The sequence below is a fragment of the Homo sapiens genome, chromosome 8 (assembly GCF_000001405.40).
Source record: "Homo sapiens chromosome 8, GRCh38.p14 Primary Assembly".
NCBI classification, from domain to species: Eukaryota; Metazoa; Chordata; class Mammalia; order Primates; family Hominidae; genus Homo; species Homo sapiens.
Genome location: NC_000008.11, coordinates 70609349 through 70622348, shown reverse-complemented (window position 1 = coordinate 70622348; position 13000 = coordinate 70609349). Strand labels below are relative to the sequence as shown.

Genomic DNA, 13000 nt, shown 5'->3' with positions numbered 1-13000 from the left:
TGCAAATTTCTGGGCCCCAAAGGAGTACAGTTTTTTCAACTGGCCCAGATGATTCTTTTACTACAGCAACAGAATTGTAATTTAATATTATGTTGGTGGCTTTTATTTTGTCAAAAGTCAGTATAAAGACACAGACATATAAGTCTGAGTGTGGTGGTACACACCTGCAATCCCAGACCTTTAGGAGGCAAAAGGCAGGAGGTTGGCTTGAGGCCAGGAATTCAAGACTAGCTTGGACAACATTGCGATACTGGTCTCTACAAAAAAGTTAAAAATTAGCCAGGCACAATTAGCTGGGCATGGTGGTGCACACCTGTAGTCCTAACTACTTGGGAGGCGGAGGCAGGAGGATCACTTCAGCCCAGGAGTTTGCTACAGTGAGCCACAACTAGCATCACTGAACTCCAGCCCAGGTGACACCAAGACTTTGTCTCTATTAAAAATAAAAAAAATAGACAGATAAAATCTTACCTGTTTTTTTTAAATTCCATTGAGGACATTGTCTGTTTTATTATCGAATGTTCTTCAATGTCAATGGAACAAAATCTCTTTCTGATTTCAGAGCTAGAAAAAAAGTTTGTCTCTCCTGTGAACTTCTATGTTTCCTTTATTAGAGTAGTGCTTGTCAAATCTGATTAATTCTCAGAATTTCCTGGGGAACTTTTAAATTAAAACAACACAGCTTCTCAGCTGTAAGACCATTCACTGGACTCTCCTGGTGAGGGACAGCCCTTGTGATACTGATAATTAGCCATGTTTCCAAAACTCTACATGGGATAATATCTAGTTAATTCTCCATGATCACTTTTTGCCTTGGCTTCCTGGAAGCTAGTCTTACAGCAATTATTCTTGGAATTCAGTTATTTAATGTAATTATTCTCCATTTCTTTCCCTATTATATTACTTGGCTCATTTAGTATGTTTTTAATACATTTCAAAATGGGAGGAAATAACCTAATAGTACTGTCTTTTAGACCAGCACATTCCTTGCAATAGCATTTAAGCCTAAAATAAATAAGTTACTAGGATTATAGAGTAAAAGAATATTATGGACTTTTAAAAATTTCCTCATTCAGTTTTATGGAGACTATGGGAAACTTATCATTTGAAAAGGACTCTGAAATTTGCTATTAAAATGACAGATACGTAATTAAATTCCTGATCCCCCTTAAGCCTCTTTCATATGGACACCCCCAAGACTAAATGCATTGTTCTTTCTTTTTATTCACCACATCAACGAGCTAATCCATTTTGGTGGTGTTAACATTACCACCATGCTGAATAATTTCCAAATGTGTGATTAGCTTGAATCACTCACCAAAGCCCCAGGCCTGAATCTTTTGCTGTCTGTAGGGATCCTTTATTTGGCTGTCTCCCAAAGACCAGACATGCATGTGAAGAAACCCAGTGCACCTAAAACCAAACTTTTCAGCTTACTGAACAATTTCCTGATTACCTCCCTTTCCCTACACACCATGTGGGTAAATGGCATTACCATTCTCCCATGTCCCAAGCTGAATTAGTCCTTTGTCACCTTTGTTTCTTTTTAGCCCCACTCCACTTAACTGGGAAATATTTATGCTACAATTTGAGGATGTAGTTTGAAGGCAGATCGAAAACCAAAGAAAATGCTGATTGGTATAAGTGATACTCAGAAGGAGGGATAAATGGCCTAAGAAATAAAAGTGGTTTGCTTCACAGGGAGAAAACCTATCATTTGTCTTAGACAGACTCAAGGATTTATTCCTTTCTCTTCTTTCCCTAGCCTAGTGCTCATTTCCTAATTAAAATCAACTACTATTAGTTGATTTCCCTGTATGCAGCCTATTCCTGTTTCCATTTATCATGGTGGTGGTATTAACAGTTTAGTAATATTTGTCTAATCAGCCTTCATCTGTAGAAAAGCAATGGTAATAGGATCTGACTCAATGAGTTGTTGTCACTATTAAATAAGTAGTTTGTAGTGTTAGGCATAGTGCTTGGCATCCAATAAATATTAATTTTATTTTGATGTTGTTAACAGTACATTCACATATTCCCTTATGATTATTTCACTTTGACTTATACCAATTAATTGCCACAAAGTACCATATTTAGTCTTTAGTATAATCTGACCATAATTTTATAAGCTAAAATTCACATTCTTCATCCTGGGAGTTAAAACTTAGTTGTAAAACCTTAAGTTATTTTTCTGAGCCTCTATCTCCTCATTTGAAACAGGGATAACATTATGTTCTAGATTTATATAAAGTTAAAATTAGTAATGTGTATCAAAAGCGCTTTGGGAACTGCAAAGAATTGTATATGTTATAGTTTTAATTTGTGCCATAAGCTTTGTCTTGGAACACATGGACTGATGCAAGCAAGGAAGGAGCTCCAAAGAATCCTTGGCCATCACCCCAAGACCTGGGTTCTACTAGGCACTGAGCCACACACCAGTTTTTGATGGCTACAAGATATCTATTCAGTTCCATCAGTCACAAATTCCCTGAGGCATAAGTCCTTCTAATTTGGGGAAGGCATTTTGCACAAAATGATGTTGTCAATGTTTAATTCTCATCAGGTGAAAATGTTCTACTTGGTGGTCCGTGGCAGATGTCAGTGCATAATAGCCTTATGAAGCATCCCCAGAAACTGCTGCTGTCTCCAGAATGTGCCAGCCTCCCAGGAACCAATTACCTGTCACCATTTTCCTGTCTGTTCCTAAGAACTAGAACCCTCTTGAAAGTACAACAAATTCAAACTGAAGTCCTTCCTCTATCTGTGATTGCTGAAATTATTTTAGAAATCACCCTACTAGATATGCCCACAGTCCTTGGCCATTGCCTCAAATACAAGTCACTCCATCCATTCTTCTCATTCACTAACATTCACATTACTGTTGGATTTTTCTTCCCTGATCCAACCACCTCGCACTGTTCCTGTACCTCCAGATCCTTTACACCATGTTCTCTAGGACATCAACGGTGATTCTACTTGTCTAGTACTTGTTCCTCCACACCTTCTGGTACTAAACTAACCCTACCCACAAGGAAAAGCATGTGGCCAAGATGGGCCACAATAATTGACCCAGAAATGATCATGCAACCTAAACCAGCCTACTTTAGGTCTTTCCTTGGAATTGTTCTGATAGAACCAGCAAGTGACCATGTTCTCTGCCATGTAAATAAAGTCCATTTACAACAGGAAAAAGTGAAGCCAAGCTGAAACAGAAGACAAAAGAAAAATAAAGAGAGAGAGAAAGGTAGAGAGAGAATCTAATGAAGTCAAGTGCCTGGTTCTATTTCCTAAGATCCACAATGCACCCTGGCTCCTGAAGCTTTTCTTTTGACTCTCTTAACTTTTGGTTCACTATATTCCCATTTCAGTCACTTGCAACTAAAAGAGTTATAACTAATATAATTCATTCCATTATAAATAAACTTCCTACAACTTCTGCCACTGCACCAAACATTCCCTCTCACCAGTTGCTTTAACTATATACCAGGCTCTCCCCTCAAAACACCAATCCCTTTCAGCCCTCTTAAATGAACATCTTTCCTCTGTCAAACTTTGTATGTCTTGAGGTGGGGCTAATAGCCTTCTCCCTCTCCAAACCATTCACTGCCCCCTATGCCTGAAAAAACCCTGTTCCTGCTGACATATTTCCTTGGGCCCTTATTACTGCTACTCTCCACTCATTCATTCTGTTAAAATAAGTAATTGGCTGAGTGCGCTGGCTCACACCTGTGATCCCAGCACTTTGGAAGACCGAGGTGGGTGGATCACCTGAGGTCAGGAGTTCGAGACCAGTCTGACCAACATGGCAAAACCCTGTCTCTACTAAAAATATAAAAATTAGCTGGGCATGGTGGTGGGAACCTGTAATCCCAACCACTCGGGTGACTGAGGCAGGAGAATCGCTTGAACCTGGGAGGCGGAGGTTGCAGTAAGCCGAGATCACACCATTGCACTCCAGCCTGGGCAACAGAGCAAGACTCTGTCTCAAAAATAAATAAATAAAATTAAAAAAAAAAATAAGTAATTGGGCAGTCATAAGGCCAATGAACACCTTAGGCTCCTACACAAACAAACTAAAACCCAATTCAATAGAAACAGTAAACAGACACTTAAGCTTAACCAATCACAAACCACCAACTTACCTCTAAGGACTTCCAACAGATTGTACCCAAATAAGGGAAATGTTTAGCTGGACCCAATCAAGTAATTCTTTTTTTTTTTTTTTTAGACAGAGTCTCACTCTGTCACCCAGGCTGGAGTGCTGTGACACAATCCTGGCTCACTGCAACCTCTGCCTCCTGGGTTCAGGCGATTCTCCTGCCTCAGCCTCCTGAGTAGCTGGGATTACAGATGCGCTCCACCACGCCCAGCTAATCTTTGTATTTTTAATAGAGATGGGGTTTCACCATGTTGGCCAGGCTGGTCTCGAACTCCTGACCTCAGGTGATCCGCCCACCTCAGCCTCCCAGAGTGCTGAGATTACAGGTGTGAGCCACTGTGCCTAGCCAAGTAATTTCTTTACTTGTTCAGCCTATAAAAGCCTGCTGCTCACACGGCTGAAACACAATTCTGTGAACCTCTTCTGGTTTTGAGTGCTGCCTACTTCGTGAAACCTTTAATGTTCAAGTAAACTCTGTTAAATGTATTTTGCCTGTAGTTTTTATTTTTAACAATTCAAAACAGAAACTTGGCTCACAGTTCTCCTTGCAGTGCCCTTCCTGAGTTCACCATCCACATGGAAGAACATCCACTGTCATTCTGTGACTGCCCTGTCTCTACTAGCCTCTCCTCCTACCTCCATCCTTTTGGTGTAAAAAGAAGTGTCCCTTCCTATGTAAAGTTCTAGTGGATTCCAAAGTTTAGAAACCTCTGTCCATCATTTTGCCCACCTCTTCCCCCTGTCTTCAGCCTGTTCATCTCTCCCCTCCTTACCATCTATTAATAAACATGCTCAACTGTGACATCACTCAAAAAACAAAAACAAAACCTACCTTGACTCCGTTATTCCTCTTTATTTACACACCCTGCTCTCTTCTCCCCTTCAAAGTTAAACTTCTTGAAAATATTCTCTCTACTTCCTGTTTCCATTTTTCACTTTGCATTCACCACTTACTGAAACTGGGCTCTCTTTCATCAGAGAAGTAGTACTCAGGCCCTGATGTGCTTGGTTAAATAGGGTGAGAAAGTCCACCTTGTGCTTGGGCTCCTTAAGCTTCTATAGGTCACAGGATTACATTCTACCCCTAGAGAGACACCTAAGTAGTGGTCAGATGGGTCACAGAATCTTCGTAGCCATTACCAACCAGCTCTCTCCGAATTGCCAGATCTACCTCTAAATGTGACATGCCATCTCCTGCCAGTCTTACATACTAGTAGCAACACTGTTTTATAAATTTGTTTTCTCGTTTCCATAGCAGCGAAGTGTATACTCAAGGAAATCATATAATTTCCAAGTATTAATGAAGTGGTTTTGCTTCCTCATGAAAATACAATTTCCTTCTCACCAGATGAGTACGATTTTATATTTTTAAACTCACTGTAAATGATATAACAATAGCATGTAAACAGAAAAATGATCTGTTGGGGTCTTTTTCATGGGCTTTGTGTTTCTACATAGGCAGCAACCAGTCTCTTGAATAGATCAGCAATGAGATAAGATTGAGAATCACTGCTCTCTGAAGAGTCAGAGTCTTCCTGGCAAGTACAGACCCTGCAGGACTGTTTACATGAGACAAGAATGGGTTTCTTTGCTGCACAGCGATGCACACTTGTAGTTCCAGCTACTTGGGAGGTTCTCTTGAGCCCAAGAGTTTAAGGCCAGCCTAGACAACATAGCGAGGCCCTGTCTCAAAAAACATCAAAAAGAATGGGTTTGGCAGGCATACAGATACCTGGACCTATGACCTTGGGCAAATTACTTAACATCTCTGAGCCTCAGCTTCTCTGTCTTTAAATAAAGACAACAACACCTATTTTATAAGATTTATGTGAAGACCAAATGATATATGTAAAGGCAAAATGCCTGGAATTTAATAAGCATGTAACAAACATTCGTTTCTTACTTTTCATCAATTTGTCCCCAAGGAGAGGTTGAAATCAAACAGTCCCATTTTAGTTCTAACTTATTTCTATTAGGTAATTTCTTGTACCTACTTTCACATCATCTCAGAACAGGTTTTTCATTCTTATACATGTCTTGTAAGGCCACATAAACACAACCTCATTGAGGGCAAAGATCATATTTCTGTTCTTTTATATTTCTCATAATTACAGCAACCTTGTACCACAAATTTTCCTGGATAGATCTAATCCCAAAAAGCTGCCTTCTGTCCTACAGTCATTAAAAGAATCCTGAGAATTTTAGGATCCAGGCTATGTTTGCCAAAGTCTTAACTTACTTGGAATGTGGCCTCCAGAGCTGAACACACATAAGAAATCAATCTGCCTGAGGGGTCCCTGGTGGGATAGCTCATCCCTGTAATCCCAGCATTTTGGGATGCCAAGGCAAGAGGATTGCTTGAGGCCAGGATTCTGAGACCAGCCTGGTCCCCATTCTAAAACAAAACAAAACGAAAAATCTGCTAAGGGAGGCCTCCAGAGCCCATGTGTCTTGGTAGGACCACTTTCCCCACCACCATGACCTACGCTTGGAGAATTTAATGGCAGCCACCTTTCACTATAAACTTAAGAGGCTAATCCTAAAAAAGAAGCTAAAATTATTATTAAACCTCCACATTCCCCTAAAAGACCTCAGGATCATTCTGTAATGCTTCAAAACTCTTTCCACCTTAGTCACCTCCAGAGTCAAACCTCCATTGTTATCCATCATCACCACAATCTCCTCCCCACAAAGCTCTATTCATCCTTTTATTTTGCTTAAGCCAAAAGCCCCTTCGCAGCCCCCAAACTCTTGCAGTGTATCCCCCAAAGCTCCAGGTGTGCCATCTACCAAATCCCCAACACCCTCTGCCTCTTTCTGAATGTTTTCTTCACCTTCTCGCTCAGAAACCTGGAGGCAGCTCTAACTGAAAACTGAAACCTGCTTCCCTGGAGCCTTCTCAAGAGGTGGCTGTTTCTTCCCTCCCACGCACCACATACCACAGAGCCTAGGGGTGGAATGGGTGTCTTTCATGGTCCTCATTGCTGCTGACAGACAATTCTCCTCCCTTGCTCAAAAACCCCAGCTTTTCTGGAAGTCCATGCCCTGAAACTACACCACCCACTACCCTCCTGTGGCAATCATCTGCCATCCTCTCAGGCTCTTCCTCATTTGCAGCAGATGTTAGTGCCCAGCTCCCTCACTGGCTCCCTTTCCATTCTTCTCCTTCACTCATTCTTGGTGATTTAGCATCCATGTGCTGAGCACCTTAGCCTCCTACTGCCTTGACTTCTCACTCTCAAAGCTCTCCTCCTCCATTCACCTCAGCTACCCACTCCCACCTTTCTACCCTGTGCATCTCATTGCCAGTGACTGCACAACCTCTGAAATCATTTCCAGCATCCCACTCTCTCACCACTTCCTCCTCAGCCAGCCCCCCTCCACAACAATTCTTCAGCCCCATAGGTGCCTCCAATTCAGAGGCCCTAGCACTATTTCTCTGTCCTCTGTCTCTGTCAGAGAACTGGCAAGGAATAGATGGCCCATTCAAAAGAATTTAGCTGGAGAGCACTTAATGAAGGGCTTATTCACAGAGGAGTAGCAGGTTGAATGAACCAACAAGGGATGGTGAAGTATGCGGGGAGTAAGAGCATGGGAAGCTATTACAACCAACAGCCTGAAGCGGCGGGGGAGAGAATGAGGTCCCTGGAGCCCACTTAGAGCTGAAACAGTAACAGAAAAGCTACCTGACACAGGCAGTGGCCACAGGAGAACAAACATAGTCACTGTTGGAACCATAGTAAGGCAAGGAGGGATGATGGGAGTATAAAGAAATCCCCAAACCCTCTGTTTTTTGGCTAGTGTCTTCCACAGACTTCCAGTCCCATTCCAATGGGAAGTCAAGGGCGAGGGAGCCCCAGTACTGCAGTCTGCAGACATTTGCCTTTCACAGCAGAAAAGGGTGGACTCTCAGGGCAGAGGGTGACAGTATAACAAGCATGACCACCACCTCATGGCCTTCACTTCATCACCCCTGCCCTCACCCTTGCACATCCTCCACATCCTTTGTCATACTGGCCTGGCAAAGCCCAATTCTGCCTTCTCCATACCTGTATCCAAACAGGGAGATATGCCTGGAGAAAATTATGTGGCTCTGCTTACTAGTCTCGCTTTAAATGTATGGCCCCAAATCTCAAGTGGGCCCTGCTGTCTGATTACATCCCTTTAATCTACTCACCCTCCACAGTTTTCCTCCATTCTCTTCTCAAATGTCATCACACTATCTCCACTCCTGATGATTTTGTTTCCTATTTTACTGAGAAAGCAGAAACAATCAGAAGCAGACAACTTCATCTTGCCATTATCAGCCTACCCCTAAATTCTGCCCTCTATCTGGTTGCTGTGGGCACCCTATCTTGTCACTGTGGTCAGCTGTGCACTACATGCCATCAACTCTGAGCTGCTCAAGGACTTTGCTTCTGCAAGCAACTCCTGTAGAATAAATCTTTCTTATAGATCATTCTCATCTGCATGCAAATACATCATAATATAGCTCATCCAAAAAGAAAAGCAAAACCCTTCCCTACACCTCTCTTCACCACGTGCCCATTACTCCGCCTTCCCTTGCAGGGAAATCCCCTCAAATGAGTTGCTTATACTCATGCCTCCATCTTGCCATTTCCCATTCTCTCTTGAACCCACTCCAGTCAGCCATTTGTTTCTACCATTTCCAAAGAAAATACTGTCTTAAAGGTCACTAGTGACTCCATAAGAGTCAGGGTCCTAGCAGAAGCAAATGGCATGTTTAAATTGGATGATTTGGGGAAATTTGTATAAAGGCACTCTCTTCAAGCGTGTGGGTTCGGGTAAGGAAACGGCAAATGATACTGCAGTACCCCAAGGCTATAAACAATAGGGTCCCTGAAGGAGCAAGACAGATAATTACCAAAGCCCAAGAGAGATTTGTGGAGAGAGGGTCTCCTGACAGAAGCCAGGACCTTCTGTGGAAGATAGCAAGAGTGCAGGGTAGGAGCCCACAGTGCATGACAGGGCACTGTCGCGGTCCAAGGACTCATCATCTCCATCCAATGTGGAAATCCTCAATGGGAAGTCTCTGTGCTGGAGCTCTACACACAAGGCTGGCCAAAACTTTCTCAGCTGCACCTCAGTCTGAGGCTCTTCCTGCCTGATCCTTCTTCCTTCCTTTCACAGGGATCAGATCTACATTACAGCCTGAAGCTTTTCCCTGTTAACTCCCCTCCCCTTTAATTTTCACAAATGTTATTGCCAATAAGTCTCTTATGCTTCTAACTCCTTCTTGGCATCTATTTCCTGGACAACCCAAACTAACATAACCACACAACCTCCATCTTACCAAACCCAGTGGTCACTAGGCGCAATGGCTCACACCTGTAATCCCAGCACTTTGGGAGCCTAAGGCGAGTGGATCACAAGGTCAGGAGTTCGAGACCAGCCTGACCAACATGGTGAAACCCCATCTCTACTAAAATACAAAAATTAGCCAGGCCTGGTGGCACGTGCCTGTAATCCCAGCTACTCAGGAGGTTGAGGCAGGAGAATCACTTGAACCTGGGAGGCAGAGGTTGCAGTGAGCTGAGATCGTGCCACTGCACTCCAGCCTGGGCAACAGAGCGAGATTCCATCTCAAAAACAAACAAACAAACAACAACAACAAAAACCCAATGGTCATCTCAAGTCCTATGGCTGGCCAGAGTATGATATGTTTAAGCAGCTGAAAGAAGACCAATGTGGTCTTCTCACAAAGGAGTGAAAAATCACCAGATTCTAAGGTTTGAAAGGACCAATTTCAGTTTAAAAACTGACATTAGTAGAGCAATTCATTTCCAAATGACCTAGAACACTTCTACTGCACCTTGCACTGTCTCTTTGTAAATATCCATCACATTGGTCATTGTTTACTGTCTGTCTTCTATTCCAGGTATGCGTTTCAAGAACAAAGACTAAATCTGTCTTGTTAATAATTATATCCTACAACTCAGGACTTGCTTGGTGCATTGCAAGTCTTCTTTAAATATATTTAAAATGAGTAACTTTGTAGAGCCATATATCATTTTTATGTTTGTTTCTTGGTTAAACTATCTTAAGGTTTTATTCTCATTTATGTGAGGTATTTTTTCTTTTCATTCCCTCAATAAATAATGACCACTAAATATTTGACAGTATAGCACCAGGTAGTAGGAGCTGGAAAAATGAAACAACTCCCAGTTCCTGAGGAGTACCAGTCTAGTGGGAAGACAGACTTGCAAACAATAGAAGATAGTATGATTATTGCTAAAATGAAATTATGTACAAAATACAAGTGAGTCCTCATAGACCCAAGTGTAAGAGCTAAAACCATAAAACTCTTAGAAGAAAACACAGGAGTAAATCTTTGGAATCTTGGGTTAGGCACTGATTTCTTATATAGGACAACAATAGCAAGTGATTAAAGAGAAAACAGGTAAGTTGGACTTTGCTGAATTAAAAACTTTTGTGCTTCAAAGAAAACCATCAAGAAAGTAAAAAGACAGACTGAAAGAAAATATTTTCAAATCATATATCTGCTAAGATCTAGAATCTATCTTTTATTTTTTAAAATAAATTACAGAACAACATGGACATATAGAATAGATATTTTTAAACCCTTACAACTCAATAAACTTTAAAAAATTAATCCAACTTAGAAATGATAAAGGATTTGAATAGACATTTCTACAAAAAAAGATATACAGATGGCTTCTGAGCACCTGATAAGGCTAGTAGTCAATATCATTAGTGCTCAGGGAAATGCAAAGCAAAATCACAATGAGATATTACTTCACACCCACTAGGACAGATAAGATTAAAAGACAGAAAATAAAAGTATTGGCAAGGATGGGAAGAAATTGGAACCTCTACACATTGCTAATAGGATGGGAAATAGTGCATTCACTTTGGAAATTAGTGTGAGAGTTCCTCAAAACGTCAAACATAAAGTTGCCTTATGATCAGCAATTCCACTGCTAGGTATATACCCAAAGGAATTGAGTTCAAACAAAAACTTGTACACAAATGTTCATCAACTGATGAATAAGATGTGCTATAGCCATACAATGGAATATTATTTGGCCATAAAAAGGAGTGAAGTACTGATACATGTTACAACATCGATGAACCTTGGAAACATTATCTTCAGTGAAAGAAGTCAGTCACAAAAGATCATGATTCTATTTACATGTAATGTCCAAGCTGGCCATGGTGGTTCACACCTGTAATCCCAGCACTTTGGGAGGTGGGAGAATTTCTTGAGGCCAGGAGTCCAAGGTTGCAGTGAGCTATGATCATGCCACTGTACACCAGCCTAGGCAACAGAGCAAGACCCCATCTCAAAAAAAGAAAGAAAAGAAACAAAGAAAGAACAAAAAGAAATGTCCACAATAAGCAAATATAGAGAGGTAGAAAATAGGTCAGTTGTTGCCAAGGGCTGCCAAGACTATGAGGGGAAATGGAGAGTTACTGGTAATGTGTATAAGGTTTCTTTTAGAGATTACAAGAATGTTCTAAAGTTATATTATGGTGATTGTTGCACAACTTTGCAAACATACTAAAAACCACAGAATTGAATATCTCAAATAGCTGAACTATATGACATAAATTATACTGCAATAAAACTATTTCAAAAATGCAATTGAATCATAAAAGATAAATTGCTTAGGTCACAGAATTCAGTGAAGCTTTCGAAGAGGTCATGTGTAAATGAGACATGAAGGAACAGCAGGAGCCTGCTGTGTCTATGAAAGGACAGGAGAAAACATTCCAGACAGAGACAGCAGTACACGCAAAGGCAGGGGAGAGCATGGGAAGAGAGCATGTCATGGCATGTACAGTCGTCCCTCAGTCTTCACAGGGGACTGGTTCCAGGGCCCCCGCGGATACCGAAATCCACCCATGCTCAGGTGCCTTATATAAGATGATGCAATATTCTGGTAAAGAATATCCTAAATCCTCCCACAGACCTCCAATCATTTCTAGATTACTTATAATAACACAACATAACTGCTAAATAAATAGTTGGCTGTACTATATTATTTAGGGAATAATCATGGGGGGGTAGTCTGTAGATGTTCAGTACAAATGCAGTTTTTTTCTTGAATATCTTTTACTCCAGGTTGGTTGAATCCACAGTGTATGCGGCACCCACAGATATGGAGAGGCAACTGTATAGTGTGTGTAGTCAATAATGCTGGTACAGAGATTATGGCCTGTAGATGCAGGGCTCCAGTCTGTTGGGGTAGGCAAGGACCAAATCAGAAAGGGCTATTTCATCATGCTAGCTTTCCATGAAGGGAAAGGGAACCCGCTGAAAAACTTTCTGCCAGTAGAAGCATCATTCTAGTATAAACGTTGAAAGGTGATCTGAAGGGAAATGAAACTAGTGATTGCCCAGAAGGAGGAAAAGAATAATCCCTGACTAAATTTATAAAGCCCTTACTCCCCGCTAAGCAGTTTCCTTCAATCATCTCATTTAATCACTAAAATGAGCAATAGTTATCCCCACTTTATAGATGATATCCACAGGGCTTGCTCCCTCACCTCCTGCAGGTCTTCAGGCAAGTATAAGTGCCTCGCACTTTCCTATTCCCCTTGCTTTATTTTTCTCCTGGTTGCTCAACTCAATTTAACATCTGTTTCGCTTTTGAAATCTTGTTTAAAGATTCTCTCCCACACTAGAATGATAAGTCCCTAGGAATAATTTAATTTGTATTTCAGTTCTGTATCCCCAGTGCCCAGGACACAGTCAACCCTCAGTAAGTACATAAATGAATACATTTTTAAAAATGAGGAAATCGGGTCCCATAGAGATTAAGTAACTTGTCCTTGATCGTACAAGTAATAAGTGGC

General features: G+C 41.3%; 1 long non-coding RNA gene across 1 annotated transcript in view, besides 1 other annotated feature; it reads right to left on the bottom strand.

Annotated features, from left to right (window-relative positions):
* The window catches only part of LACTB2-AS1 (LACTB2 antisense RNA 1), a 54703-nt gene that overhangs the window by 40931 nt on the left and 772 nt on the right, over nt 1-13000 (bottom strand). The gene's annotated exons all lie outside the window — the stretch shown is intronic.
* Nucleotides 4725-4804: an enhancer, noted in NCBI's record as "active region_27508". NCBI's record gives its function as "activates an Ori minimal core promoter by ATAC-STARR-seq in GM12878 lymphoblastoid cells {active_cell/tissue: GM12878}" and the evidence as "EXISTENCE:reporter gene assay evidence [ECO:0000049][PMID:35858748]".